The 27782-nt window shown below is 52.7% G+C and overlaps 1 protein-coding gene across 13 annotated transcripts, besides 11 other annotated features; it reads left to right on the forward strand.

Annotated features, from left to right (window-relative positions):
• Positions 856-1305: a silencer, noted in NCBI's record as "silent region_20035". NCBI's record gives its function as "represses an Ori minimal core promoter by ATAC-STARR-seq in GM12878 lymphoblastoid cells {active_cell/tissue: GM12878}" and the evidence as "EXISTENCE:reporter gene assay evidence [ECO:0000049][PMID:35858748]".
• Positions 856-2216: a biological region, named in NCBI's record as "H3K27ac-H3K4me1 hESC enhancer GRCh37_chr9:95821078-95822058".
• SUSD3 (sushi domain containing 3) lies at positions 1141-27573 on the forward strand. Of its 13 annotated transcripts, none has more exons than XM_011518358.2 (8): positions 4801-5855; positions 6927-7049; positions 10542-10591; positions 11475-11588; positions 18224-18412; positions 20286-20433; positions 21911-22042; positions 26977-27573. In XM_011518358.2, the coding sequence occupies exons 4-8, from the start codon at positions 11540-11542 to the stop codon at positions 27185-27187; spliced, it is 729 nt and encodes a 242-aa protein (XP_011516660.1). In that variant the 5' UTR covers positions 4801-5855; positions 6927-7049; positions 10542-10591; positions 11475-11539; the 3' UTR covers positions 27188-27573. The 13 variants fall into 13 exon arrangements, with proteins under 13 accessions (XP_016869939.1, NP_001273934.1, NP_659443.1 ...); XM_047422942.1 differs by having other exon boundaries at positions 4801-5383; XM_047422941.1 differs by having other exon boundaries at positions 4801-4833.
• Positions 1236-2216: an enhancer, noted in NCBI's record as "H3K27ac-H3K4me1 hESC enhancer chr9:95821078-95822058 (GRCh37/hg19 assembly coordinates)". NCBI's record gives its function as "activates a minimal SCP1, AML or CMV promoter by ChIP-STARR-seq in naive H9 embryonic stem cells {active_cell/tissue: H9 hESC(naive)}" and the evidence as "EXISTENCE:reporter gene assay evidence [ECO:0000049][PMID:30033119]".
• Positions 1316-1725: a silencer, noted in NCBI's record as "silent region_20036". NCBI's record gives its function as "represses an Ori minimal core promoter by ATAC-STARR-seq in GM12878 lymphoblastoid cells {active_cell/tissue: GM12878}" and the evidence as "EXISTENCE:reporter gene assay evidence [ECO:0000049][PMID:35858748]".
• Positions 2217-3197: an enhancer, noted in NCBI's record as "H3K4me1 hESC enhancer chr9:95822059-95823039 (GRCh37/hg19 assembly coordinates)". NCBI's record gives its function as "activates a minimal SCP1, AML or CMV promoter by ChIP-STARR-seq in naive H9 embryonic stem cells {active_cell/tissue: H9 hESC(naive)}" and the evidence as "EXISTENCE:reporter gene assay evidence [ECO:0000049][PMID:30033119]".
• Positions 3266-3315: an enhancer, noted in NCBI's record as "active region_28609". NCBI's record gives its function as "activates an Ori minimal core promoter by ATAC-STARR-seq in GM12878 lymphoblastoid cells {active_cell/tissue: GM12878}" and the evidence as "EXISTENCE:reporter gene assay evidence [ECO:0000049][PMID:35858748]".
• Positions 4706-5273: an enhancer, noted in NCBI's record as "H3K4me1 hESC enhancer chr9:95824548-95825115 (GRCh37/hg19 assembly coordinates)". NCBI's record gives its function as "activates a minimal SCP1, AML or CMV promoter by ChIP-STARR-seq in naive H9 embryonic stem cells {active_cell/tissue: H9 hESC(naive)}" and the evidence as "EXISTENCE:reporter gene assay evidence [ECO:0000049][PMID:30033119]".
• Positions 6820-7029: an enhancer, noted in NCBI's record as "active region_28610". NCBI's record gives its function as "activates an Ori minimal core promoter by ATAC-STARR-seq in GM12878 lymphoblastoid cells {active_cell/tissue: GM12878}" and the evidence as "EXISTENCE:reporter gene assay evidence [ECO:0000049][PMID:35858748]".
• Positions 7060-7129: an enhancer, noted in NCBI's record as "active region_28611". NCBI's record gives its function as "activates an Ori minimal core promoter by ATAC-STARR-seq in GM12878 lymphoblastoid cells {active_cell/tissue: GM12878}" and the evidence as "EXISTENCE:reporter gene assay evidence [ECO:0000049][PMID:35858748]".
• Positions 14007-14301: an enhancer, noted in NCBI's record as "tiled region #12079; HepG2 Activating non-DNase unmatched - State 13:Ctcf, and K562 Activating DNase matched - State 5:Enh". NCBI's record gives its function as "activates a minimal TATA promoter and a strong SV40 promoter by Sharpr-MPRA in HepG2 and K562 cells {active_cell/tissue: HepG2 | K562}" and the evidence as "EXISTENCE:reporter gene assay evidence [ECO:0000049][PMID:27701403]".
• Positions 24967-25595: an enhancer, noted in NCBI's record as "H3K27ac-H3K4me1 hESC enhancer chr9:95844809-95845437 (GRCh37/hg19 assembly coordinates)". NCBI's record gives its function as "activates a minimal SCP1, AML or CMV promoter by ChIP-STARR-seq in naive H9 embryonic stem cells {active_cell/tissue: H9 hESC(naive)}" and the evidence as "EXISTENCE:reporter gene assay evidence [ECO:0000049][PMID:30033119]".
• Positions 27574-27782: the final 209 nt, after the last annotated feature.

The raw sequence follows: 27782 nt of genomic DNA on the forward strand, positions 1-27782 counted from the left end.
GGGTGACGCCAACCCTGATGGCGAAAGGGGGAGGGCCCCTCACGTTTCACACTGAACCTCAGCTTTGGAGGGCTCGGAAAGCAGAGACGGGGAGGGGCTGCCCTGCTGGAACCCTGCTTCATGGTCCACCTGAACATCCACACTCTTCACGGTCACCTGCCAGGCACTCTAGAGCCAGCCTGGCCCACCTGGGCCACCTTCTGCGCTCCTGGAGGCATGCCTAAGCCAGCCGCACTGGGCTTCTGCTGCCACACATTGCCAAACCAGGGCCTTTGCACCTGCTGTTCCCTCTGCCAGGATTGCCTTTGCCAGCTCCACAGGAATAGGCATGGCTCAGGTGGTCTCCCACAAGCAGCCCAAGATCCAGGATGTCTGAGGCCTGACACCACACCCAACCCTTTGGTGGCTGCCTGGGCAGGGGGCTAAGCCTGGGTTGGGTGGGGTCAGAGGGAGAGAAAGAGCCCGGATCACAGCTCTGGGCCTGCTGCAAGTGGAGCTGGGTGGGAAGGGGAAGCCAGGAGAAGGGAGGCCTCCAGGTGTGGTGGGCCCTGCAGACAGACCCCAGGGCTTTCCATCCTGTTTCCCCCAGCCGGGGGCCCCTCAGTGAGAACCGAAGACAACAAGGGCACCCAGACCTCAGTGTGCCTCAGACGGCCTGGCCCAGTGAGAGACAGGGAAAGAAGGCTGGGTCCACACAGGACTCTGGGGGTGAGTGGGTTACGGGAGGGGCGGGCCGGGGAGGCGTTTTGCTGTTTGCCCTTTGGTACCGGCCGAATCCGGCACCCTGAGAAGGCAAAATCCTGCTCAAAAAATAAAAACACAGAAGCACATGGAAAAACCACACTAGGAGTGAAGGTGAGAACAGGAAGGGATGGGGGAAGGGTGTTGGGCAGAGGTAGCCACGCGTGCAACGCCCCGGAGTAGCAACACTTTCCGCTCAGCCGGCTGCCTTGGCCCGCTGGGTATTTGGTCTCCCCAAGGGCCCCCGCCCACAGCCCCCGGCCGGACCTCGGCCCCAGTCCAACGTGTGGGCGTGGTCTGTAAGTTGCATGGAACCGCCCCTGGGCGGGCGTGGAGGGCGGGGCCTCCCCGCCCCTCACCCAGGCCCAGGCCCAGGCCCCGCCCCCACAAGCCGGGCTCACTCCCCTGGCAGACCCCGCCAAGCGCCTCGGAGCGCGCAGGATGCGCTGGGCGGCCGCCACCCTCCGTGGCAAGGCGAGGCCCCGGGGGCGGGCCGGGGTCACCACGCCTGCCCCAGGGAACCGCACAGGTGAGGGCTGGGGCCGAGTGGCCGCGTGCGGGGCTCTGCGCCCATTTCACAGACGGGAAAGCCGAGGGGAGGGGGTCGCGGGGCCGCACAGCCGTGGGTGGGGGCCACAGCAACGATCTGCCCCGAGGACGAACCTCCTCGACCCTCCGCCGGCCCAGCAGGCGCCCTAGCGGAGCCGAAGCCTGGCAGCGAGCAGTTCGAAACCAGGCGGCTGCACGCAGCAGCCCGCGCGCCCGTTCCCGAGTGGCCGCAGCGCCTTGGTCCCGGGCGTCTGCGGACAGCGCGGCCGGCCAAGCCTCTCCACGCCGCAGGCTCCGGGCCCCTCCGCGCCCCTCCCGGGGAAGTCGAAACCGGCCTCACCTGGCGGGCGGGTGGCGCGGGGGCGGGAGGGGGGAGCCGGGAGCCCTCTCTGCGCCTGAGGGAGGTGTCATCTTCACGATTCCTTGGTGACCAGCGCAGCTCCACTTTACAGATGGAGAAACTGAGCCTGCGAGAGGGGAGTGGCTGTCCGAGGTCACCCTGTAGCCAGGCTTGGGATCGCCTCGGCTGTCTCGGAGGAGGCTCAGAGGCCTTTGGAAGGAAGAGAAGCTGCTTTTTATTTTACTTTTAAGTGTTTGAATTCAAGAATGTGCTTAAAGAGTTGTCTGCTCCCGTGCCCAAGGCTCCGGGGTTCGAATGCTGGCCTTGCTCCTTGAATGATTCTAAAGTCTAACCCTTTTAGAAACGGAACCAAACCGGAACTCTGGGTCTCAGATATCCCAAAAGCTTACTTCCGCGGCCACTGCCCACGAACGTTAGGCCTGAGGGTTCTGGGCGTCTCAGGCGTTGCGGGGCTAAGGCTCTGCGCAGGAGGAAGCTGAGGCCCGGAGTGGGGTGGGCTGGACCAGGTCACACTGTCAGCCTGCAGCCCCAGGGAACTGGCAGGAAGGTGGCAGGAGAATGGCTTCCTCTCACAGTTGGGGAAACTGCGGCTCAGGGAGCTAATTCACCGAGCAGAGGTCCGCAGCTCAGCAAAGTGGGCGCTGAGACTTGTTCCTGGCGCTGGTGGATTTGGTTTATTTAGTTTGACTCTGGCAGCCTAATGTCCAGAGTCCCTAATTTGGTGTTGGGGTGATGAGCACTTTTGCTCCTGTGTTTGAGCAAGGCCTGCCCAGGGCCTGGTACTACCTGAGGAGCCCCTTCTACTGGCACAACAGCCTGGGGGCGTGGGTGCCAGTGCCCTTTGGATAGCCTTGACTTGCCCAAGGTCAGCCCAAGGCCAGGGAGTATCTGGAGGCTCTGGCATATTTGCATACAAAAGGCTGTTTGCCTTGGAATTTGTGCTGGGAATGGAGCTTAGTCTGGCACCCTGTGCTCTTGTTCATCCTGCCTGGCCCTGGCTCTGCCTCTGACCACCATGACCACTTCCCAGGCACTGGCCCCCTTGTTGGAGTTTTGGGTTAGGATCCCCCCTGTGACCTGGGGTGAGTCGCTGTACCTCTGTGCCTCAGTTTCCCCATGTGCCCCAGTTTCCCCACTGTATACCTGCCCCCAAGCTTGTGGACAGGCCCAGTGGAGCCCAGGGAGGGTACTTGTTCTGGTGCAGGGATGATGCCATCATCTGGACTCCATCACTCCCCTGCCATGTGACCTCAGTTTCTTGCTCTGTGAAATGTGCTGTGAAGTTAGAGGCTGGGGGGTTGGGAGCCTTTGGAGAGGATTTGACACTAAAACACCACTGACCAGGAGTGGTGGCTCATGCCTCTAATCCCACACTTTGGGAGGCTGAGGTGGGCGGATTGCTTGAGTCCAGGAGCTCGAAACCAACCTGGGTAACATAGCAAGACCCCGTATCTACAAAAAATGCAAAAAAAAAATTAGCTGAGCATGGTGGCATGCGCCTGTAGTCCCAGCTATTCGGGAGGCTGAAAGGTGGAAGGATTGCTTTCGTCCAGAGTTCGAGGCTACAGTGAGCTGTGATCACCTCACTGCACTCCACCCTGGGCAACAGAGCGAGATTCTGTCTCAAAACAAAACAAAAACCAAAAACATAGCACGGGGATGTGTGTTTTTCCCACCATCTTTAAAATGGGGCCATTACCACTGGTTTTCCTAGAGTAGATATGAAGAGCACAGTAGTGTGGACAGACTGATCTTCCTGAGAGGCAGGAAGTGGTCTTCCCTCATCTCCCATGAGCGCCCTGGGAGAAGGGCAGGGCGCGGGGGAGACTAGCTCAGAGTAGGAGTTTATCATGTTTGTTGTATGACTGGCCCCTGGCCCTGCTCCCAGGTCAGCCCCAGCACTCCCTGATCTGGGAGATTGTCCAGGAAAGCAGGGTTCCAGTGGCTGTAGGTAACCCCCCTGGCATCCGTGGAAGGGCCTTGGAGGAAGGGCCTGGAGAGGGGGTAGCAGGAGGCATGCTCTGCTGGTGCCTTCTTGGCTTCACCCCTGAACTCCTGCCCCAGAACTGGACTGTGTCCATTTTACAGAGGAGAAACTGAGACCCCGTGAATGCATGTGTAAATCAAAGCAAGGCAGACACACCCTGTGATGCCTGGCTATGGCCTCCTGCCACCCATTGGCATCGAAAGAGCTGCTGGTAGAAGGCATAGGTTCCCGGACCCTCGGTTTTCCACCAGGGATGTGGGAGTACATGTTCCTCATTTGGAATTAGCCCAGCTCTTTTATGGAGGATTGTGTGCTTTCCACATCCTGAGGCCACCCTGCTGCTCAGCCTGGAGATGGAAGGCAGAAGTGGCTCTGAAGCCTGTGCTCACCCTCCATGTGGAGATGGGCTCAGAGAGGGCAAGTGACTTACCTGAAGACACACAGCCAGGGCTGTGGGACACCCACATGTAGTGTTGGGGCCAGGCCTGTCCCCACTGCCAGGGTCTTGGGGGTCCTGTTCTCAAAGCACCTCTGTGTGCAAAAGTCACCCCCTTTAAACTCTGAGAAATTCCTCCTGAAGGTTCCTGTTTCACATTTGGGGGAACTGAGACCCAGATTGAGGTCACACAGGGACTCACTGGCAGGTGGGGATCGAGTCTAGGTGAGACTGGGTTCAGCAGCCTGCCTCTGTCACTCTCTCCCACAGCCTCAGCCAGCATAAAAGGGAACATAGTTACTTAATCCCACAGCAGGCGAGGTCAGGTTATAGGGGCTGTGTGGCGAATCCCAGGAGGGAGGATGGAGGGGCCGACCTGAGGTCCAAGGTTCCAGATAAAAGATTAACAAGTACGGATTGTTCTCAGACGCCCGGCTGGCCTCACAGGCTGGGAGGATGAGAATCCACCCGGTCAGGCTTGGCCCCCTCCGTACATAAGGCCAGGGAGGGAGGAAGCGCAGCTGCAGCAGGTGGCCAGGCAGAGGCGCAGGCGCGGCATGTGGGCTGAGGGCCGCTCAGGCATCACACAGGTGTGGCCCTGAGGTACCCATTGGTCCTCTCCACCTGCCCCTGAGCCGTGGGAGGGCCAGGCAGGGCCTCGTGTGTTTTTATTTTGTATCTTGTTTGCATCAAATCCGTTTTCTGTTGTTTTTCCCTCTTCTTTAAGATTTACATGCAAAGGGATCTAAAGGGTGCCAGGTAAGAAATGCCCCAGCACTAGGCTGGCAGACCAAGGGCAGCCACAACCATGGGCTGGGGAACAGCAGGTGGGTAGGATGGGGCTGGAGGGCAGGACGGATCCAGAGAGGCAAGGCCTCTGCCTCCAGCTTTAGGGAACAGACATCCTCAAAGACAGCTGGGGTGTGGGGTCCTCTGCAGGGGTGAGGCACAGGAGGGCCATCTGCAGGCAGCTGGGAGTTCATGAGTATTTGAAGCAGGGGAGGGGACAGGGGACAGATGGGATCTGCCTCTCATGCATCAGGCATGGGGAGGGGCTCAGGAGGTCAGTGAGGGGTGGCCCTGGGTCCCCTGGGAGTCCGGGAGTCTCTGTGTGAGCAGGACTTGGCTGTGCGGTGGTTAGAGACAAGGGTGATCCACCAGCTCCATCCTCATGCCTTGGTGATTTCTTGGAATGTCCCTGGGAGTTGGGTGCAGGTAGAGACTTTGTAGACCATAGCTCCTGGCACTGTGCTGCCTGCCTGCCCCATCCTGGCTGTGAGTTCGCTGTGAATCCTACGGAATCCTGGCTGTGAGTTCGCTGTGAATCCTATGGAAAGGGCTACCCCAAGGGGACAGGAGTCCAGCCTCCTACTCTTGGCACTGCCATCATGCAGCCAGGGGCCTTGGGCAGGTTTGTGGGCCTCAGTTTCCTCATCTGGAAAATGGAGCCAGCCCAGAGAAAGTGTTTCCTGGCCTCCCAGGCTCAGGAAAGGAGTACAGGAGACCCCACTGGGGCCTGGAGGGTTGAAGGTCCCCTGTATGCTGCAGACCTTGGGGATCAAGGGCTAAGGGCTGAAGTTTCCCTGTGTTCCATGGACCTTGGGGATTGAGGCCCAGGGCCCCAGTAGGGCTCATGTCCTGGGCTGCTCAAGCCCTGACCTAGGGAGTGATCCTGTGCACCAGATCCTGCTCCAAGATCTCCATAGGGCAGTCCTGCTCTTCCCAGACCCCAGGCGGGCAAGTCACCAGTTTTGCAGACGGGGAAGTTGAGGCTGAGCCAGGTGAGAAATTCAGGTCCAAGACCTGCTGCTGGGATGGGTCTTGTCAGGATCAGACCCCAGGAACCTACTGGTTAGCCCTCCAGGAAGCCTGCCCACCCAACTGGGGGCTAAGAGGGGGCATTGCCGGTCAGTGGCTTCTCTTTCTGTGGCCCCTGCAGCAAGAGAGGCCACAGGAACATGACTTTGCCTCCCTGTGCCCCCTTGGCTGAGGGCTTAAAGGAGGTTGGACCTCTTGGCCACCCTGAGGAGGCAGGTCAGGGCTGTGAGCCTTGAGCAAGGACTCACCCTACCCTCCCTCCTACCAGTTACTTCCCCCAGACCCTCTGCTTGACTTATAAAGGAAAGCCATTCCAGCAGTGCACTTACATTAGGACCTGGGCATGAGACCCTTCTTCTGGTCAGCTGGCTACAAATGCAGGGTCTGAGGCCAGGACTGCGTTTAAGGCCCCCCAGCCCCACCAGGCACCATCCTTCTCTGCTCATGGACAGTTGGGCTGGCATCAGTTTTACTGGGCTTGTATTCCAAATCGTTCTATACTTTTATTTGAGTTTTTAATTTGACGGCGCATCCCGGACTTCTTGTAGGTCAGTGTTACCTCGCTGGCTGGTCCCCTTTCTTTGGTTGTGGGTGGTGACTTCACCTTTTTTTTTGAGACAGAGTCTCACTTTGTCAACCAGGCTAGAGTACAGTGCCGTGATCTTGGCTCACTGCGGCTTCTGCCTCCTGGTTCAAGCAATTCTCCTGCCTCAGCCTCCTAAGTAGCTGGGACTACAGGTGCACACCGCCACGCCTAGCTACTTTTTGTATTTTTAATAGAGACAGGGTTTCACCATGTTGGCCAGGATGGTCTTGATCTCCTGACCTTGTGATCTGCCCACCTTGGCCTCCCAAAGTGCTGGGAGTACAGGCGTGAGCCACCGCACCCAGCCGACTTCACCCTTTATCCCCCACGTCTGTGAGGCTCAATGATGCAGGCAGGACAGGCTCTGGGGATGCTGGGAAGGGGATGCTGGGAACAGCTTGCCTGCTGTTGATGCCTGTCACTGTGACATGTAATCCACCACCTGCAGTTGCTGTCTGAGGACAAGAGCCCTCACTATAGCAGAACCTGGCGGCTGAGAACACAGGATGTGGCTTTTGGCAGATGAAGTGTGAACCAAGACAAGACCTTGGTCGACCTCAGACATAGCTAGGTGAGAGCCGACTGGTCAACCTCAGACATGGCTAGTCATGAGCTCCCCACAGGGCTCAGCACAACACACGGGCGGGCAGGGGGAGGAGCTGCTCCTTCTAAAACACACTTAGAGGAAGTCAGCTGTGGAGGTGGCCTTGCTGGGATGATCATCATTTCATCCAGTCCTCGCCCCACCCTGCCTGTTGTGGTATTTGTAGGTGGAGACACAGGCCCAGGGTGGAGAAGTGACTGGGGTCTTCTGGAAAGGCCGGGCCTACCCTCAAACCCAGGTCCTCTGGCTCCAGAGCTGGTCCTGGCTGCCTTGAGTGCATGGGAGGCCCTGGCGGTCACATCCGTCTTGTTTGAGAGAAAGCTATGTCCCCGCGGTGACACACAGTCTCAGTAGAATAAGTCCTAGGGATCAGCCCAGTGCCCAGACCGCTCAGCAGTGGTTAAATGTCTGGGTCCTGGATGGGGAGTGGTATGGCCACCCCTTCCCTGGGACCCTGGTGGGTGGGAAGGGGATGTGCCCAGGGGATCAGTTACATGTCAGCAGTGGGGATGCTCAAGGTCTTCCGCCAGCATTTTTCTTTTGAACGTGCAGCAGAGTTGAAAGAATTTTATGCCTGGACACGCACCAGCTTGATTCCACCCTTCGCATTTCGCTGTGCCTGCTTTCTCACATCTGTCTCCATCCCTTGGTCCACCCCTCCAGGCATCTCATTATTCTAATGAAGTTCTAGTTTTATTTTTAAAGAATGAATTCACGTTCATCCATTCATCCTCTCACTGGGCAGACACTCAACCAGGCGCTGTTGTGGGTGCTGGACACACTCACCCTCGCCAACCTCTCCTCCCATCCGCCAACGGCTACTCCCAAACCTCTGGCTGGTGGGGCCTCCTCTCTGCAAGGGCCGCAGTGGGCTGGGAAGCCACAGAGGAATGCAGAAGTCGCAGCTCTAAATTAAGGACTGGGAAGTGTTGGCTGCCTGGCGGCCCTGGGGAGGGGGCCACGTGGCCAGCCCGTGGCTGCCCTGCTGTGTCTGCCAGGGCTCCAGAATCCCATAGCCACCTCCTTGGCCAGAAGGACAGTGCATATACAGATCCCAAGATCCTGAAAAAGCAAAGTGGTCCCTGGCCCTTGGGGAGTGCTGATCACGACTCTTGCCTGTGAGGTGAGGCTGCCAGTCCTCCATTCCTTTGTTCTTGCATTCATTCATTCACTCATTCCTGCACTGATGTCTCCAGATATGGAGCTTGGTAGTTGACGGAGAGCCCAACCCTGGAGACAGAATTCAAGTCCTAGCTGTGCCACTGGGAGCTAGGTGACCCAAGGCCAGCGAGAGTCAGCCCAGGGTTATAGGAAATAGCCCAGGCCAGGGGTTAGAGCTGTACCTGGCACACAGGTATGCTCAGCGTCAGCTGTCATCCGCCCAGCATCCCTGGGAGGTTCTGCCTCCTGCTGATCTCAGTCCTGCCCACCATGCCCTCCATCCCCCTGAAGGGCAGGGCAGCTCCTCAGGCCCTCCCCACTCTGTGTACCGCCCCTAGAAATTGTGCACCCCTCCTCTGCAGCCTCCTCAATCTGAAGGGCTGATCTTTTTAACCCTGACAGAGATAAGAAGCAAAAAAAGTATCTTCAGTTGCTTTTTCTTTTTTTGGAGATGGAGTCTCCCTCTGTCGCCCATGTTGGAGTGCAGTGGCATGATCTCAGTTCACTGCAACCTCCACCTCCCAGGTTCAAGGGATTCTTCTGTCTCAGCCTCTTGAGTAGCTGGAACTACAGGCGCACGCCACCACGCCCAGCTAATTTTTGTATTTTTAGTAGAGACAGGTTTTCACCATATTGGTCAGGCGGGTCTCAAACTGCTGACCTCATGATCCGCCTGCCTCAGCCTCCCAAAGTGCTGGGATTACAGGTATGAGCCACCGTGCTCGGCCAAGTATCTTCAGTTTTAAATGTGTATTTCTTTAATTGACATATTTTCCCCCTGATTTTTTAAACAGCTTTACTGGGCCATAATTCACATACCATACAATTTACCTTTTTAAATCATAGAACTCAGTAGCTTTTGTACATTCACAGATATGTGCTACCATCACTCCAGTCAATTTTATTTTATTTTATTTTATTTTTTGAGACGGAGTCACTCTGTTGCCCTGGCTGGAGTGCAGTGGCACAATCTTGGCTCACTGCAACCTCCGCCTCCCGGGTTCAAGCGATTCCCCTGCCTCAGCCTCCTGAGTAGCTGGATTACAGGCGTGCACCACCACACCCAGCTAATTTTTGTATTCTTAGTAGAGATGGGGTTTCACCGTGTTGGCCAGGCTGGTCTGGAACTCCTGACCTCAGGTGATCTGACCGCCTTGGCCTCCCAAAGTGCTGGGATTACAGGTGTGAGCCACCATACCCAGCCACTCCAGTCAATTTTATAATGTTTTTAATCACTGCATAAGAAGATCCCATACCCCTTAGCAGCCATCTCCCAGTTTTCCCTTTCCCCCAGCTTCTGACAGCCACTAATCTGCTTTCTGTCTCTGGATTTGCCTGTTCTGGACATTTCATATGAGTGTCATCATATGACATGTGACCTTTTGTGTCTGACTTCTTTCACTTAACACAGTGTTTTCAAGGTTTATCCATGTTGTAACATGGATCAGCACTTCATGCCTTTTGATGATTTAATAGTACTCTGTGGTGTGGATAAACCACATTTTGTTTATTCACTTATTGGTTGACAGACATTTAGGTGTTTCAGCTCTCTGGCCATTACAAATAATGCTGCTGTGAACATTCGTGTACCCATTTTTGTGTAGACAGGTATTTTCATTTCTCTTGGCTGATTACCTAGCAGTGGAATTACTGGATCATGTGGTAATTCTGTGCTTAACTGTGTGAAAAACCACCGGACAGTTTTCCAAAGCTGTTGCACCATTCTGTTCCCAAACTAGTAGCTTCTGAGGTGCCAGTTTCTCCACATTTTTCCTAACACTTCGTATTGTCTGTCTTTTTTTTTTTTTTTTCTTGAAACGAAGTCTTGCTCTGTCCCAGGCTGGAGTGCGGTAGCCTGATCTCGGCTGACTGCAACCTCCGCCTCCCAGGTTCAAGTGATACTCCTGCCTCAGCCTCTCAAGTAGCTGGGATTACAGGGGCCCACCACTACGCCTGGCTAATTTTTGTAGTTTTAGTCGAGACAGAGTTTCACCCTGTTGGCCAGGGTGGTCTCAAACTCCTAACCTCAAGTGATCCAGCCACCTCGGCCTCCCAAAGTCCTGGGATTACAGGCGTGAGCCACTGCGCCCAGCCAGCTATTGGTATTGCCTATCTTTTTGACAGACTTCCTTGTGGTTTTGATTTGTATTTCCCTGAAGGTTAATAATTTTGAGAATCTTCTTGTGCTTATTGGCTGCTAACTTATCTTTTTCAGAGAAATGTCTGTTCAGATCCTTTGGCCATTTTTCAATTTTGTTGTCTTCTAATTGAATTGTAATAATTCTTTATATGTTCTAGACACATGCCTCTTATCAGATACATGATTTGCAAGTATTTTCTCCCTATTGGTAAGTTGTCTTTTCACTTTATTGAATGTCCTTTAAAGCACAAACATTTTTCATTTTGATGAAGTCCTGTTTTTATTTTTCTTTTGGTGTTTGTCTTTGGTGTTAGATCTAAGAAACCATTGCCTAAGTTTACAAAGATTTTCCCTATGTTTTCTTCTAAGAGTTTCATAGTTTTAGCTCTTACTTTTAGGTCTTTGATTCATGTTAATTTTAGCATATGGTATGAGCTAGGGGTCCAGCTTCAGTTGTCCCAGCATCAGTTTGTTGAAAAACTATTCCTTTCCCATTGAATTGTCTTGGTACCCTTGTTGAAAATCATTTGACTATAAATGTAAGGGTTTACCTCTGCACTCTCAGTTCTATTCTGTTGGCCTTTATGTCTGTCCTCATGATAGTACCACACTGTTTTGATTACTCTAGCTTTGTAATACATTTTGAAATTGGCAAGTGTGAACTCTCCAACTTTGTTCTTTTTCAAGAGTGTTTTGGCTATTCTAGGTCTTTTGCATTTCCATATGAGCTTTAAGATCAGCTTGTTGATTTCTGGAAAGAAAGCAGCTGGATTCTGATAGAGATTTTGTTGAATCTGTATATCAGTTTGGAGAATACAGTAGATTCAATGAATACAGTAGATACAGTGAATATAGTAGATACAATGTATCCAAGGGGGATACATTCCAGGACCCCTCAGTGCATGCCTGAAACTTCAGATACTATATATGTTGTTTTTTCCCTAAACACATGTACCTATGATAAGTTTAATTTATAAATTGAACAGAGTGAAAGATTAATGATAACCAGTAATAAGTTATACCAATTATAACAATATATTATAATAAGAGTAATGTGAATGTGGTCTCTCTCTCTCTAAATATCTTAATAGACGGTACTCACCCTTCTTGCGATGATGTGAGATGATAAAATGCCTACATGATGAGATGAAGTGAGATGAAAAACATAGGCCTTGTGATGGAATGGGAAATTCCAGAGATAATTTGTAAGTTTTACACTGTGAGCCACTCTGAGTGTTGTGATGAAATCTCACCCATCCCGCTCCACCCCGCCTGGGATTGCTGTCAGTCACTTAGTAGCCCTCTGGGTTATCAGACCCCCTGATACTGCAGTGCTTGTGTTCAGGCAACTCTCATTTCACTTAATAATGGCCCAAAACACAACTGTTGTGAGGTACTATTTTCTGATTGTGGAACCACCGGTAACTGAAACCATGGAAAGTGAAAACAAGGATAAGGACGGACTACCATAATATGTTGCCATCGTAACAATATTAAGTCTTCTGATCCATGAGCATAGGATGTTTTCCCATTTATTTAGGTCTTTAATTTCTTTCAACAACGTTTTGTAGTTTTCAGAGTATGTGTTTTGCACTTCTGTTATTAAATTTATAACTAATTTATTCTTTTTGATGCTGTTGTATAAAATGTTTTTCTTAATTTTCAATTTGCTCACTGCTACTGTACAGAAATACATTGACTTCTGTATGTTGACCTGGTATTCTACAACCTTGCTGAACTAATTTCTATTTATAATAGCTTTTAGTGGATTTCTGAGGCTTTTCTACATATATACGAAATCATGTCATCTAATGGAGATTGTTTTACTTCTTCCTTTTTTTTTTCTTTTTTTTTGAGATGGAGTCTCACTTTGTTGCCCAGGCTGGAGTGCAGTGGTACGATTTTGGCTCACTGCAACCTCTGCTTCCTGGGATCAGGCGATTCTCCTGCCTCAGCCTCCCAAGTAGCTGGGATTACAGACATGTGCCACCCACACCCGGTTAATTTTTGATTTTAGTACAGATAGGGTTTCACCATGTTGGCCAGGCTGGTCTTGAACTCCTGACCTCAAGTGATCCACCTGCCTCGGCCTCCCAAAGTGCTGGGATTACAGGCATGAGCCACCATGCCTGGCCGAGCCATTTGTTTTTCTTTTCTAACTTACACATTTTGCTGTGATTTTTGTCATTGGCTTATTAATATATAAGTGCTGTTTATGTAGAGAAGATACAAATCTCCTATTACATATATGTTACAAATATAAGAATCTTAGACACCGCATCTAGTGGTGGCTCCCTCCCTGCTATCAGTGGGCATTTGGGCAGGTGAATCCACCTCTCTGAGCCTTATCTGTAATAATACAGATAAAGAATGTGGGGTGCTCTTGAACAGAATATTCTATCCATACATGCATTGTTATTGTTAGTGGCTGTGCAAATGCTGAGGATCCATAGACAGGGAGCAGTCAGAATGGCCCTGCCCAGGCCAGAGGCTGGCCTTCCCCAGATACTGAAGGGGCAGAAAGGATGGGGGCAGCCCGGGGATAAAGAGCCAGGTGCCTGCGGTTGACCCTGGCGGAACCACAAACTGGCTGTGTGACCTCAGTGTCCCTGAGCCATGGTTTCTGGGGCTGCAGAATGGGGGAGACAGTTCTTCCAAGGACATCATGGCTCCTGCCCTCATGTGTACCAGGCACAACCACCTTCCAGATGCCTTGGCATTACACCTCATTTCCTCAGCACCCCAGTCCAAGGTGGGCACAACAGCTGTGCTGACTTTGAGGCCGGGGCAGGCTCCCTTGCCTGGGCCCCCAAATGTGTGTGGTGGAGGTGGACTAGGAGCCCCACAGGCTGGAACCCGTGTGTTCGTTTCTGTACTGTCACCCAACAGCTGCTGAAGCGCTCAGCACAGAGTAGAGCCTGGGCATTATTCTTCCTTCTATTATTATTGTTGCTGATATTCCTACTTTTGTTATTGTCACCTTGGGGCCCCAAGTGGACCAGCCAGAATCCCAAGCGCTAAATAGGGCACTGGGCTGAGACGTGTTGCTGAAGCTTTGTATCAGATTTGAGCCAGTCCACTTAACAAATCCACAAGAAAACAGTGGCCTAACTCCAGCTGGAGTTTATTGCTGTCTCTTCTTAGGATCCGAGAGGTTGGTCTGTCCTTTCACATGTCTACCATCTTTGCTCCCTGTATTAGTCAGGGTTCTCTAGAGGGACTGGACTAATAGCATAGATGTATATATAAAGGGGAGTTTATTAAGGAGTATTGACTCACACGATAACAAGGTGAAGTCCCACAATAGGCTGCCTGCAAGCTAAGGAGCAAGGAAGCCAGTCTGAGTCCTAAAACCTCAAAAGTAGGGAAGACAGTGCAGCCTTCAGTCTGTGGCAGAAGGCCCGACAGCCGTTGGCAAGCCACTGGTGTAAGTCCAAGAATCCAAAAGCTGAAGAACTTGGAGTCTGATGTTCAAAGGCAGGAAGCATCCAGCATGGGAGAAAGATGAAGGTCAGAAGATTCAGCCAATCTAGTCCTTCCACGTTCCTCTGCCTGCTTTTATTCTAGCCTCACTGGCAGCTGATTAGATGGTGCCCACCAGATTAAGGGTGGGTCTGCTTCTCCCAGTCCACCGACGCAAATGTTAATCTCCTTTGGCAACACCCTCACAGACACACCCAGTGACGATACATTGCGTCCTTCAATTCAATCAAGTTGACACTCAATATTAACCATCACACTCCCCAATGCAGAAGTGACACAGCATCTATGCTCACACCTCATTGGCCAGGTTCAGTCACGTGACTGCTCCCTGGAGGGCAGGTTGGGAAATGTAGTTTTCAGTGGTGATCACATTTCCAGCTGCAACTCTGGGATGGGGAGAAGGGATACTAGAGGCAACCGCAGCCAGGGGTGGGAACTAGAGTTGCAGCTGCCCAGGATGAGGTGAGATGGGGCAGATTCCACCCACTGGGCTTGGCCATCAGGTGGGGCTCCCGAAACAGTGTGCTGGGTCTCAGTTCCATCCCTACCACCTTCCCACTGAGTGACCTTGGGCATGCCATTGAGCTTTGCTGTGCCTCAGTTTCCCCATCTGTAAGGTAGGGGTAGACCACCCTCCTCATAGGGCTATAATGCAGTACAGCACCCATTAGGCCCCCAGTGTTGTCTGTGTTAGATCAGTCCCTCCCCCATCCCTCCCAGAAAAGTACACAAACCATAAGCCCCTCCCACCCCTCTTCCCTTGCTAGCAAGTATCCTCAAGGCAGAAGCAGTGTAGCCTGACCCTCCCAAAGCGGTGGGGCATGTCTGCCTCAACCCCTCCTGAGGGCCACCCCTGCCTCTGCACTCTCGCCCTCAGCATCTCAGCTTGTTAAGGCCCTGGGGTCCTCAGTCATGCAGAGGCCAGGGGCAGGGGGACCACTGGGTGCTGCTGGGGAGTGGGTCAATGTGACCTGGCCAGCTGCAGCCAAATGCCATCCTTCACTGTCACTACCATGGCACAGAGCCTCTGGTAGCCTCCACTTTTGCCAGATCCCAGACCAGACTTCGGAGCCTGGCCTGAAGCCCAGCTCTGCTGATGCCCATTAATAGCCGTGGCACACATGGCTGGGGCAAGGGGTGGTGTGACCTCTCTGAGCCTCAGTTTCCCCCCAGATGGGCTTGTGAATTGAGATGTGGGGTAAGAAATGGAGTGATATGTCTCGCAGATAAAGACCTTGCCTGGGCACACAGCCAGCCCACGTGACTGCTCCTGGGCAGATGTGAATAAATCTGGGGGATGGTATGCAGCCTACCGCAGATGTCTTTGGTAAACATTTTAAAATTAGAGTCCACAGAGTTTGCTGGCCAATTGGTTGTGGATTGAGAAAGTAGGTTTCAAGGTTTAGGGCCCAAGCAACTGAAGGATGGAGGGACTGCTGATTTAAATTAAAGTTATAAGAGGAGAAGCTACATGGTGAGCAGGTTTGGGGAGCTCAGAAGCTTGGCTATGTCTCATCTCAGGCTCGGTGGGCAGTAGGACTTCCATTCCTGGCACCCAGGGCATGGTCCTGGCTGGAGATGTAGCACACAGAGGACAGAGGAAGGTCGTAGCAGGTCAGTGTGGAATAATGGGGTCCCTCAGACTCTGCATGCCCCAGTTTTTGTCCCTGCCATCACCCCCATCTCTGGGTGTCAGTCCCTGCCTGTGCCGAGGGAGACAGGCACAGAGATGCTCAGGTGGCCCTTCACCACTGCTGCCTCCGGTCAGTCTCTGCCTCTGCACACACCATGCATCAGCACGGCCTGCTGTCCCTGTTCTTTTTTTTTTTTTTTTTTTTGAGACGGAGTCTCGCTCTGTCGCCCAGGCTGGAGTGCAGTGGTGCAATCTCGGCTCACTGCAAGCTCTGCCTCCTGGGTTCACACCATTCTCCTGCCTCAGCCTCCCAAGTAGCTGGGACTTCAGGCGCCCGCCACCACACCTGGCTAATTATTTTTCTATTTTTAGTAAAGACGGGGTTTCACCGTGTTAGCCAGGATGGTCTCAATCTCCTGCCCTCGTGATCCGCCCGCCTCGGCCTCCCAAAGTGCTGGGATTACAGGCGTGAGCCACCGTGCCCGTCCTGTCCCTGTTCTTTACCTGTGATGCACCAGCGGTCCACTGTCAATGCCCAAAAATCAGGAAATACCAGATAAGCAGGAGGAAGAGCCTCCTGGATTTGGACACCAGGAGACCTGCTTGGGGATGTCCTTAGCAGTTTCACTGAACGTCCTTGAACCCCAGAGACAACTCAGATGCAGGGAACAGGGACACACACTGAGGCCCATCTGCACAATGGAACACTTCACTGCTGTGAAAAGTAACCAGCTGCTGATATATGCATAGCACAACGACTCAGATGCATTTTGTGTGTGTGTCTGTGTGTGTATGAACGTGTGTGAAGTTAGACCAGAGCCTCCTTGTCTGGTTCTGAGTCTTCCCTGCAGCATAAGAGCCGTGTGACTGCAAAAAGTGTGGTAAGACCCTCTGCCCAGTTTGCTCATCTGTCGATGGGGATAATGATGGTTCTCCCTGGGTAGGCTGCTATGCCGATAGATGATGGCACATGTAAGGCAGGTGCAATGGCATCCAGCCACAGTAATCTTCTCAGTCCCAGCTGTTGTCGTTATAATTTTATAAAAATTCTTGATTGCTGTTGCATCCAGAGCATCTCTGTGTCCTTATTTAAGAACATCACTGGCCGGGTGTGGTGGCTCACGTCTGTAATCCCAGCACTTTGGGAGGCCAAGGCGGCCGGATCACGAGGTCATCATGGCCAACATGGTGAAACCCCGTCTCTACTAAAAATACAAAAAATCAGCCAGGTGTGGTCGCACATGCCTGTAATCCCAGCTACTCGGGAGGGTGAGGCAGGAGAATTGCTTGAACCCAGGAGGTGGAGGTTGCTGTGAGCTGAGATCACGCCATTGCACACTCCAGCCTGGGCGACAGGGCAAGACTCTGACTCAAAAAAAAAAAAAAAAAAAAAAAAAAAGAACATCACTGTAAGTGCTCTCTGGTATTTTAATGTCTGGATGGCCCTGGGTAAGGGAATCATTCCCTCCTGCTGGAGGCGTGGGTTGTTTCAGCCTTTCACTATTATGTATGGTTCTGAGGTGGGCTTCCCCATAGAGAAATCTTGGCAGCAGATTCTTTTTTTTTTTTTTTTTTTTTTGAGATGCAGTCTCACTCTGTTGCCAGGCTGGAGTGCAGTGATCTTGGCTCACTGCAACCTCTGACTCCCTGGTTCAATCGATTCTCCTGCCTCAGCCTCCTGAGTAGCTGGAATTACAGGCACATGCCACCATGCCCAGCTAATTTTTGTATTTTTAGTAGAGATGGGGTTTCACCATGTTGGCCAGGATGGTCTCAATCCCCGACCTCATGATCCACCTGCCTCGGCCTCCCAAAGTGCTGGGATTACAAGCATGAGCCACCATGCCTGGCCAGCAGATTCTTATTTCCTGTGGCTAAAGGTTCATATGCAACATAGGGTGCTTATTGCATTTACCAAATGCTCTGCAGAAAGGTTGGATCTGTACCCCAGCCCGGGTACAGGGCTTCCCAGGCCCTGCCAACTTGCACATTGTTTTCTTTTTGCCTTTACCTCACCGACGCAGGAAAAATGAGCTCTCCCTTGAATCAACATTTCCTCAATTGCCTGTGGGTCTGCATTTTTCATGACTGTGGGCCACTGGTATCCTTGTGAATTGCTTGTTCACACATTAGAACTTGTTGGTTTTTTTTAAACTGAATATTCAGTTTTCATTGATGTGTAAGACCTCTTCATAGATTAAGACTACCGAACCAACCTTTGACCTATGCTTTCCAAATATCCTTTCCCGAATTTTTCACCTGAGTTGGTTGTTTTCCATTATTAGGGAGCCTCAGAAGCTTTTGCTTTCTGCTTTGTATGCAGTCAAATCTGCTGATCTCTCTCTGTCCCTCTTTTTTTTTTTTTTTTTTTTTTTGTTCTGATTTCTGCCTTTGGAGCCGTGTTTAGGTCATAATCAAAGGCCATGCCTCAGTGTCTCAGGGAAGGTATGTTTGCTTTTATTGTCTTCTAACACTTATTTCTTTTTTTAATGCTCCAATCCTCAACATCTAGAGTGTACTTCATGGAGGGATCCAGCTCTGCGTTGTCCCCCGGTCTGGATGACCCCATGTGACCTCTAGAGCATCCAATGGCCTTTGGAGCTGCACCCCACCCCTGTGCTCCCCAATGCTGTGCCAGCTCCTCACTCCAGGGTCCTGCCCAGCCCTGCCCTGCGTGCCCACCCCCCCCCCCCCGCCATGCCTCATACCTGCCTGTCTCCCCAGGCACGTGCGCTAAGCTGCGGCTACCCCCGCAAGCAACCTTCCAAGTCCTTCGTGGCAATGGTGCTTCCGTGGGGACCGTGCTCATGTTCCGCTGCCCCTCCAACCACCAGATGGTGGGGTCTGGGCTCCTCACCTGCACCTGGAAGGGGAGCATCGCTGAGTGGTCTTCAGGGTCCCCAGTGTGCAAACGTAAGGACCCCTCTCTCAGCTCGGTGGCTCTGGGGGTGGGGGATGGCCCCAAATCCTGTCATGGGGATGGTGTGGGTGGGGATGGCGTGGGTGTCTACTCACAAGCAGCTAGGCCAGTGTGTAGGGTCCCATTCCCAACACTGACAGCTTGCTTACATGTCAGCAGCCGGCTGTAGGCCCTCAGCCCTCCCAGTGCCATGTTGGCAGCACGGACCGAAAACCTAGTAGCGGGCCTCCAATCCTGGCTCTGCTACCGACTCAGCCCCTCACCGCCAAGAGGCTGTGCATGCTCTCTGAGCCAGCACGTTTTCATCTGTTAAGCAGGAAACTATGTTTGTTCATTCATTCATTCATTCATTCATTCATTCATGTACAGGTGCACATGGCCAACTTTAATAGGATATTTCACGTATCAGGAATCTTAAGTACTGGCAACACGGAAGGTCATAACGTGCCTGGCCCTGGAGCTCCCAGTCTGTGGGAGGCAATGGTTTTCTGGTTGTATTTCTTGTACAGGTGTTGAAAGGTCCACAAGATAGTCCCTTTTCAGTGCCCAGCATGACATTTCCAAAATGAAGCTATGTGTGTTATGTTCATGTGTTTTGTGCATAAAAAGGGCTCAGAGTCAAAATAGTTTGGCAGATTCTGGGTTTTTATGCTGCAGAACTTCTCAGAGCCTTTAAAATGTTCACGTGCTAGGTGATTCTCTGAGGATGCGAGTGTTAGGATTAGATTCTGAAAGGCAGAAAACCCAAAATACTAGGATTAACTATGATGGAGCTCAACCTTCAGGGTGGGCAGGCAGATCTGTATAGGCTCCATGGCAGTGGGAGCCAGGCCCCTTCCCTGGCATGGCTCTGCTGGGCATGGCCTCAGCCTCATGATTCAAGATGGCAGCAGCTATGTTCCAGGCAGCTGTTATGGGGTGAGGGGCCCTGGGGCCAAAGAGCAGGCCCCAGTGTCTCAGGGAAGGTTCTTAGAAGTTGCCCCACATCACTTCTTATCTTCCACTGGCCAGAACATGGTCCTGTGACCACTGGGAAATGTAGTCTCCATTTTGGGTGGCCAGGATCCACTAGGGAGCATGGGAAATGGGGCAGGGGACAGGGCCATGTTCTCTACGTGGGGGAGTAAACGGTGTTGCTCAAATTAGGATTCCGAGGCCTTTTTTAGCCAGAACATCCAGTAGAATCTGATGGAACTAGTTTTTGGAGCATAGCTGAGGTCACACAGCAGATACATAGTATTTTGGACCTTCCTGGAAAGTGACCTGAGAAGGCATGTAGGCCCCCTGAAGAATGTTGCCACCTTGGGGCATTGTGAAAACCCAGACCATGGGCTGGGCAAGGCCTCCTCAGTACTGTCTATTGTCACCTCCTCTCTGTGGCCCACCCTTCCTTCATTCCTCAGGCAGGACTTCAGTGGGTAGGAGCCAAGGAGGCCATCACTCTGAACTCCCTGCCAGAACTTCTGTAATTGACCACTCTGCAGACTTCTACATACCCTACAAAACCCTGCTCAAATACCCTCTTCAGTTAGCCACTCTGCACACTCCTACACACCCTGGAAAACCCTGCTTAAATACCCCCTTTAAATAGCCACTCTGCATACTCCTACACACCCTGCTCAAATAACCTGCTTCTTGGGGAGAGTCTTCTCTGATAGTCCCACCTCCAAATATAGTTTGCACAGATCTTTGCCTCAGCCCCCAGCACCTCACTGCCCCCTTACCATGCAAACAGGGCTCACTGAGGGCTGCCCAGGCCCTGTCTACACCCAGGCCCTACCCGTACCACCCCTGAGACCCCCAACCCCTGGGCCAAGCAAATCTGGGCAAACCTCGCCCAGGAGCTGGTGGTTGTCTCCCACACAGTGGTGCCACCACACGAGACCTTTGGCTTCAAGGTGGCCGTGATCGCCTCCATTGTGAGCTGTGCCATCATCCTGCTCATGTCCATGGCCTTCCTCACCTGCTGCCTCCTCAAGTGCGTGAAGAAGAGCAAGCGGCGGCGCTCCAACAGGTACGGTGGCCTCATGATCTCAGGGTCCTCCCGGGAGGCGCCTCTTGGCACCATGGGAGGAGGAAAGGACAGAGTGTTTCAAGGGAACCCCGGCACTGCCCTCAGGGCACCCGTTCCTACCACTGCTGCTCTGGGCCTGCGTCTCCCCCCCAAGTGCTGCTCCCGGCCCACGCAGCAGCCAGGGGCAGCATCACAGCTGGGGGACATGTGGGCCCCCAAGGCCCTGCTCTTAGGCCAGGCTATGGGTTCACGGGGGATTATTTTATTTATTTATTTTTTTTGAGACGGAGTCTTGCTCTGTCACCCAGGCGACAGAGTACAGTAGCGTGATCTCAGCTCACTGCAACCTCCGCCTCCTGGGTTAAAGCAATTCTCCTGCCTCAGCCTTCCTAGAAGCTGGGATTATAGGTATGTACCACCACACTCGGCTAATTTTTTGTATTTTTAGTGGAGATGGGGTTTCACCATATTGGCCAGGCTGGTCTCAAACTCCTGACCTCTGGTGATCCGCCCAGTGATCTGCCTCCCAAAGTGCTGGGATTACAGGCGTGAGCCACCGCGCCCGGCCCGTTTTATTCTTAAACCTGCACACATATGCAGTATGTACTCTGCTGTGTTAACGGCCTGCAGGGCTGCCACACACGCCCCCTAAACCTTGAGAGGGAGTCACTGTCACTGCAGATGGAGGGCTGGTTAACCACAGCCCACCAGCGAAGTCCGGCTGTCTGTCAGGTTTTTTCCCCATGGTAATTTATTATTATTTTTTGTTTTTATTTTTTATTGTGGTAAAATATCAATACATAAAACTTAACCTTTTTTTTTTTGAGACGGAGTCTCACTCTGTCGCCCAGGCTGGAGTGCAGTGGCTCCATCTCAGCTCACTGCAAGCTCCACCTCCTGGGATCACGCCATTCTCCTGCCTCAGCCTCCCGAGTAGCTGGGACTACAAGCGCCCGCCACCATGCTCAGCTAATTTTTTTTTGTATTTTTAGTACAGACGGGGTTTCACCGTGTTAGCCAGGATGGTCTCGAGCTCCTGACCTCATGATCCACCTGCCACGGCCTCCCAAAGTGCTGGGATTACAGGCATGAGCCACTGCGCCTGGCCAAAACTTAACCTTTTTAACGTCTACAGTTCAGTAGCATTAAGTATGTTCACGATGTAGTGCAGCCATTAGCACTGTCCAGCCCTAGAACTTTCCACCACCTGTATTTGTAAGTAAAGTTTTATTGGAACACAGCCATGTTCATTGTCTACTGGTGTGTGGCTACTTTTGGGCTGCAATTGCAGAGTTTAGCTGTGGGAGAAATCATGTGTCTCACCACACCAAAAACATCCACTGCCCAGCTCTTTGAGAGGTTTGCCAGCCTGCACTGGTCCTGCAGACGGTGCCCTGGGCCTACATGGAGCCTGTTTCCACCACCGTCAGGGATACACCTGCATGCTCAGAGTCCTTCCTCCCAAACTCTCCTCCAGGTCAGCCCAGCTGTGGTCCCAGCTGAAAGATGAGGACTTGGAGACGGTGCAGGCCGCATACCTTGGCCTCAAGCACTTCAACAAACCCGTGAGCGGGCCCAGCCAGGCGCACGACAACCACAGCTTCACCACGTGAGCCCGGGTCTGGGTAGGGGACATGCTGGGGGACAAGGGGTCCAGCTTGGTCAGGCCCCGGGCCACCTGCTGCTCCCACACGCTGAGAGCCTGCTGCTCCCACACGCCTAGCCCACCCAGAACCTTAACTCCCATCTCTAAAACAAGAGGCTGGTGGTCCTTGTAGCACTCTGTCCTGACTCTGACATTCTAGGACTCAGAACTGCCCCCAGCAGTGTTTTCATCTGGAGGGTCCACCCTCCAGGGAAGCTGAAGCTTCTACACACCTGTGTTCCCTCCACCTACACCCAGCAGGGCTCTGCACTGAGCTGCAGTCACTTGCTCTCCCTCCCGTGCTCTGTCCCTCTCCTTTCTCTCTCTCTTAATACACACATACATTTTTTTGCCCTGAACCAATATAAGGACATTCTTTTTCTGAGTCCAGAAATTTAATACTGATTGGCCAGGCTTGGTGGCTCACACCTGTAATCCCAGCAGTTTGGGAGGCTGAGGTGGGAGGATCACCTGAGGTCAGGAGTTCGAGGCCAACATGGTGAAATCCCGTCTCTACTAAAAACACAAACATTACCTGGGTGTGGCGGAGTGTGCCTTTAATCCCAGCTACTTGGGAGGCAGAGACAGGAGAATCACTTGAACCCAGGAGGCGGAGCTTGTAGTGAGCCAAGGTTGTGCCACCGCACTCCAGCCTGGGCGACAGAGCGAGACTCCGTCTCAAAAAAAAAAAAAAAAAAAAAACAAAACTAACAGAAATCTAATATTGATTGCACGTGGCCTGTTGAGTGGAGAATGTCCATAATCACACGCAGCACTCAGCCACCAGGTCTCTGGGCTCCTTAAACTGGTATGGGCCTTCAGTTTTTCATGGCATAGTCTTCTGAGGGTTCCAGGCCAGTGGTCGCATGCAGAGGCTCCTGTCTGCGTCTGTCTGGTGTTTCTGTGTGACCAGGCCCGGCTCTGCATTTCTGGTGCAGGGCTACATGTGCAGATCACAGACATGGGCCAGGCTGCCCCCACGGGCCACATGGAATGGGGTCTCTTGGCTGAGGCGAAGCCCCCCAGGTCCCTCCACTGTCAGAGCCTGAGGAAGGGGCTCTGCAAGTGTCCCTCCACTGTCTCAGCGGCCTCTGACTTGTGGTCTCAGCGTGCAAGGCTGATCCTGCCAGATCCGCTCTTGCCTTGGGCATTACAGAATGGTGACTTTGTTAATTCTGTTGCACTTCTGACATTCCTTCTATCAGGGATGAGGATGAGCTGTTTTTTTCTTTCCTTTCTTTTGATTTTGTTTTGTTGTTTTAGCATCACATGAACTCATGAATATTCTTTTCTGAAACTTTTATTTTGGGAAAAGTTCACAAATACACAAAAGTAGAATATTGTCACAGATCTCCTGTCCCTGCCTCCCATTCTCATGGTCACCAGCTAAGCCAGGCAACCTCATTCATGCCCCTTCCCCCACATTATTTTCAAGCACACTTTTTGTGGGCTCCAGTTCTTGGCAGTAGGAGCTCTGCCAAGCCATGGCCTGTGTCCTTCTGATCCATCCCCATCAGTCTGTGAGTGCTTCCTGCCTTGCACAAGATGTTCCAGGCCCATCTCATGCTTTCTGTGCCCATCTCTGCGGTTGGCCACTGCTCTGGGAGCCCTGTTTCTGTGGGTGGAGAACAGCGCTTAGACACCGGGGTCTGGGCGGGCATCCAGACGACATCATTGAGCTTGTGTTCCCTTCCTTCAGGCCCTCCTGCTGGAGTCTTTCGAGGCTGCAGTGCACTTGGTCCCAGCCCTCATGGCCTCACTGTATGACTAACAGCTCCATGCCTCGGTTTCCTCACCTGTAAAGTGAGGATTGCAGTAGCGCTCACCCTTTCAAGTTGTTGAGGTTACCTGAGTCCGGGTGTGTGCCTCTCTCGCCAGGCCCAGGGTGAGAGCTCATTGAATACTGGCTGTTACTGTCGTTGCCACTCTTACGACCTTATGCAGATGGGGAAACTGAGGCACAGGAGATGGTGGTCTCTGTGGCCCTGGGTTACACACACCGTGCTGGGTCTGGCCAACACCTGCAGGGAAGGAATTCACCTTTCTGTCTCCTTTCCTGACGCTTCAAGTGTGTATTACATCAACAAGGATGTAGCCGAAATGCTGCCATTGATACTTCTGCACTTAGCAACACGTTCCAGGTCACCATGGTGGTCTGAGGCCTCCAGGCTATCATTCCTTACAGCAGCCCATTATTCCAAAGCTTCCAATATCTGCTAGACCCTCCCCTGTTGAGTGGTCAGGCGTGGTCAGTGTCTTTTTGCTTAGTGCTGTTTTTCTTTTTCAAGACCACAACTCTTGGGGCTGATCCTAGGAATCGATTGTTTAGGCCCAACAGTCTGAATATTTTATGACCACATTCTTTCCCTGGGAGCTCTGGTACAAGTGAATGTGGCCATATTTTTCTGGTAACTGCATCATCACTGAGTGCTGACCATTTGTTTATCATTTGTTTCTTACAGTAGCTACAAGTTGTGTGGGTAGTTTCCGTCAGCATTTCTTTGATGAATGTCGAGGAAGAATGTTTTCTCCAGCCTTGGCTCACCAGTGCCATTGCTGGCATGAGTCATTTTCTGTTTTCTCTGCTGAATTACCTCCAAATGTTTTGCTCCATGTGTTGTGGGAGGGCACCTGACCCATCAATTGGCTGTACATTTTTTAGGCCTCTTTCCTTTTTTTTTTTTTTTTTTTTTTTTTGAGGCGGAGTCTTGCTCTGTCGTCCAGGCTGGAGTTCAGTGGCGCGATCTCGGCTCACTGCAAGCTCCGCCTCCCGGGTTCACACCATTCTCCTGCCTCAGCCTCCCAAGTAGCTGGGACCACAGGTGTCCGCCACCATGCCCAGCTAATTTTTTGTATTTTTAGTAGAGACAGGGTTTCACTGTGTTAGCCAGGATGGTCTCGATCTCCTCACCTCGTGATCTGCCCACCTCGGCCTCCCAAAGTGCTGGGATTACAGGCGTGAGCCACCGTGCCTGACCCCCTTTCCTTTTTATTTTAGTTTTGTTGGGGCCATGGTGGCTAATGCCTTTCCTTTTGGGTAGTGAGATATCCAAAGCCACTTTCAGAGCTCCTCCATTGCCCCACCTGTGATCCCCACTCCCCATTACAGCACTGGGACCAGATCATCCTGTGTCATAACTGGGAAAGTGCCCATGGAATGGGGGAAGGAACAATTGCCTCTCAAGGCAACATGGTGTCCAGGATGATGGCAGCCACAGCTGCTGCCGCTGCCGCAGGGGCTTTGCTGGCCAGAGCATGATGCCGAGGGGCTCCCAGGGGTGCTGTTTGGGGCCACACTTCTGCCTGGTCCCAGCGCCACAGACCCTGCCTCTTACACTGCGGGAACTTGTGCAGTGTGTGGTCGGACGTGTGCGTCCCGTCCAAGAGTGGCCACAGATCTGTGTACAGGGCTGTGTTCACCCCCTCTGGGGAGTGAGAGAGCCAGGGCGGGAGGGAGGCACCCTGACAGGGCCGTGAGAGGCTGGAGGAGGCCGGCTTAGGGGCCACTCTGACAGTCAGCTCAAGAGGCAGGAAGTGGTGGTGAGGCTGAGGGGGATTGGGAGGGGGACCCTTAGGGCAGAGCCCCTTCCCGGAGCTCTCTCACACATGGAGACCTCGAGCACTCAGCCCAGCTTCATGGGGACTCAGAGAAGGCGGGTCCTGCCCAGGGCTACAAAGCCGATGGAGGCAGAGTTCCCTGAGTCCCCAGCCCTGGGCCCCGGGCTCCCAGGCAGGATCCTCGGGATATGCCTGTGCTGGGGCTGCCCACCCCTCAGGCAGGGCCCAGGCTGCCTCCATAGGTGGTAAATTGCCTTTAGCAAGGTGAGGTTTGCCTCTTGACCTTGTTTTTATTTCATAAGTACTTCTCAGCACTTGCAATGTGCCAGGCACTGTTCTGAACTCTTCCAAATATTAACTCTTTTCACCTAGGGGTGGGTACTACTTTTATCCCGTTTTCCAGGTGAAGAACTAGGCAGGTTAAGAAACTTGTGTAGACTCCCACACAACCAGTAAGTGAGGCTGGGTGGAGTCAGTCTGGCTCCTGCCTCCCCGAAGCTGCCTTTCGTCTCCACCAGTTATTGATGCTTTCACTTACTCATTGCATAAGCAGATCATTTCTTAATTCCTACTACTTACTAGAGTTTTTCTGAGAATTAGTTGTGGGTGGGAGCCGTGATCCAGGAAGGCTTCCTGGAAGAGGTGATGCCGGAAGTGAAAGGACTAAGAGAGCCTGCTTTGGGAGGGGAGAGAGACAGCCTCTGAGGGGAGGAGAGGACATGCAAAGGGCTGGAGGTGGGAGCCGCCAGGCAGCCCACATGGAGCAGAGGCCAGTGTGTGTGTGGAGGCTGGAGATGGGACAGGGCCAGGGTCTGGTCAGCCTGGGGAATGGCTTGGTTTGTATCTGGGGGAGTAGAGAGCCACAAGAGTACTGAGGGTGGAGCAGGTGGGTGATCCAGCTCCTGGCTACCAAAGAGGCAGGCCTGGCAGGAGGGAAGATGTCCTCCCCTTGACCTCCTGCTCCCCAGCATCCCTTCTCTGCCTGGGACATCCCAGGCCCTGGCCAGACAGCTGGGTTCCTGGTGGTTTCTGCACACTCTGAATGAGCCCCAGGAAGTCCCTTCCCACACCTTAGGGGGGCAAGTGTCTGACTCCTGGGCCACGCCCTGGTTGTGTAGATGAAGGACCCACTTGCCAACAGGGCCCGGCAGGGAGATGGAGTGACCTCTGTGCACCTTAGGGTGCAGGGCAGCTCCCAGCAGGAGGAAACGGGCTCCCCAGTGCTCAGGGCAGCAGTTGCCCCAGGCCCACTGGAGGGCCTGGGTACCTGGGAAGGTATGGAGTTGGGGATTAAACCCTATCCACACTCTTTTGCCAACTCATGCCTCCTCTCTCCACAGAGACCATGGTGAGAGCACCAGCAAGCTGGCCAGTGTGACCCGCAGCGTGGACAAGGACCCTGGGATCCCCAGAGCTCTAAGCCTCAGTGGCTCCTCCAGCTCACCCCAAGCCCAGGTGATGGTGCACATGGCAAACCCCAGACAGCCCCTGCCTGCCTCTGGGCTGGCCACAGGAATGCCACAACAGCCCGCAGCATATGCCCTAGGGTGACCACGCAGTGAGGCTGGTGCCCATGCTCCACACTGGGAGGCCAGGCTGACCCCACCAGCCAGTCAGCTACAACTCCACATCAACTCCACATGCGCCCAGCTCGAGACTGATGAGTGGAATCAGCTTCCAGGTGTAGGGACCCCTTGAGGGGCCGAGCTGACATCCAAGGCTGAGGACCCCAGTGGGGAGTGTTCTGTTCCGGCATATCCTGGCCGTAACGATTTTTATAGTTATGGACTACTTGAAACCACTACTGAGGGTAATTTACTAGCTGTGGCCTCCCACTAACTAGCATTCCTTTAAAGAGACTGGGAAATGTTTTAAGCAAATCTAGTTTTGTATAATAAAATAAGAAAATAGCAATAAACTTCTTTTCAGCAACTACAGAAAACTACCTCAGCATCTTCCTCCACAGGATGTACTGCTTCCAAGCAAGGACCCATGGAGGGTTCTGCATCTGTTGTCTGTAAAAGTGCAGTTGAGGGGTATGAAGTAAAACTAAATAATTATTTCTTTTTTTTTTGAGACAGAGTCTCACTCTGTCGCCCAGGTTGGAGTGCAGTGGTGCAATCTCTGCTCACTGCAAGCTCCGCTT

This window comes from Homo sapiens, chromosome 9 (assembly GCF_000001405.40).
Source record: "Homo sapiens chromosome 9, GRCh38.p14 Primary Assembly".
Taxonomy (NCBI): Eukaryota; Metazoa; Chordata; class Mammalia; order Primates; family Hominidae; genus Homo; species Homo sapiens.

What these genes read in the sequence shown, in the direction of transcription:
- SUSD3 (NM_145006.4), top strand. Translation starts at nt 1,183, where the DNA reads ATGCGCTGGGCGGCCGCCACCCTCCGTGGCAAGGCGAGGCCCCGGGGG. An exon ending in AGGGTCCCCAGTGTGCAAAC is followed by an intron (nt 18,413 to 20,285) that starts GTAAGGACCCCT and finishes TCTCCCACACAG; the next exon opens with TGGTGCCACCACACGAGACC. An exon ending in AAGCGGCGGCGCTCCAACAG is followed by an intron (nt 20,434 to 21,910) that starts GTACGGTGGCCT and finishes ACTCTCCTCCAG; the next exon opens with GTCAGCCCAGCTGTGGTCCC.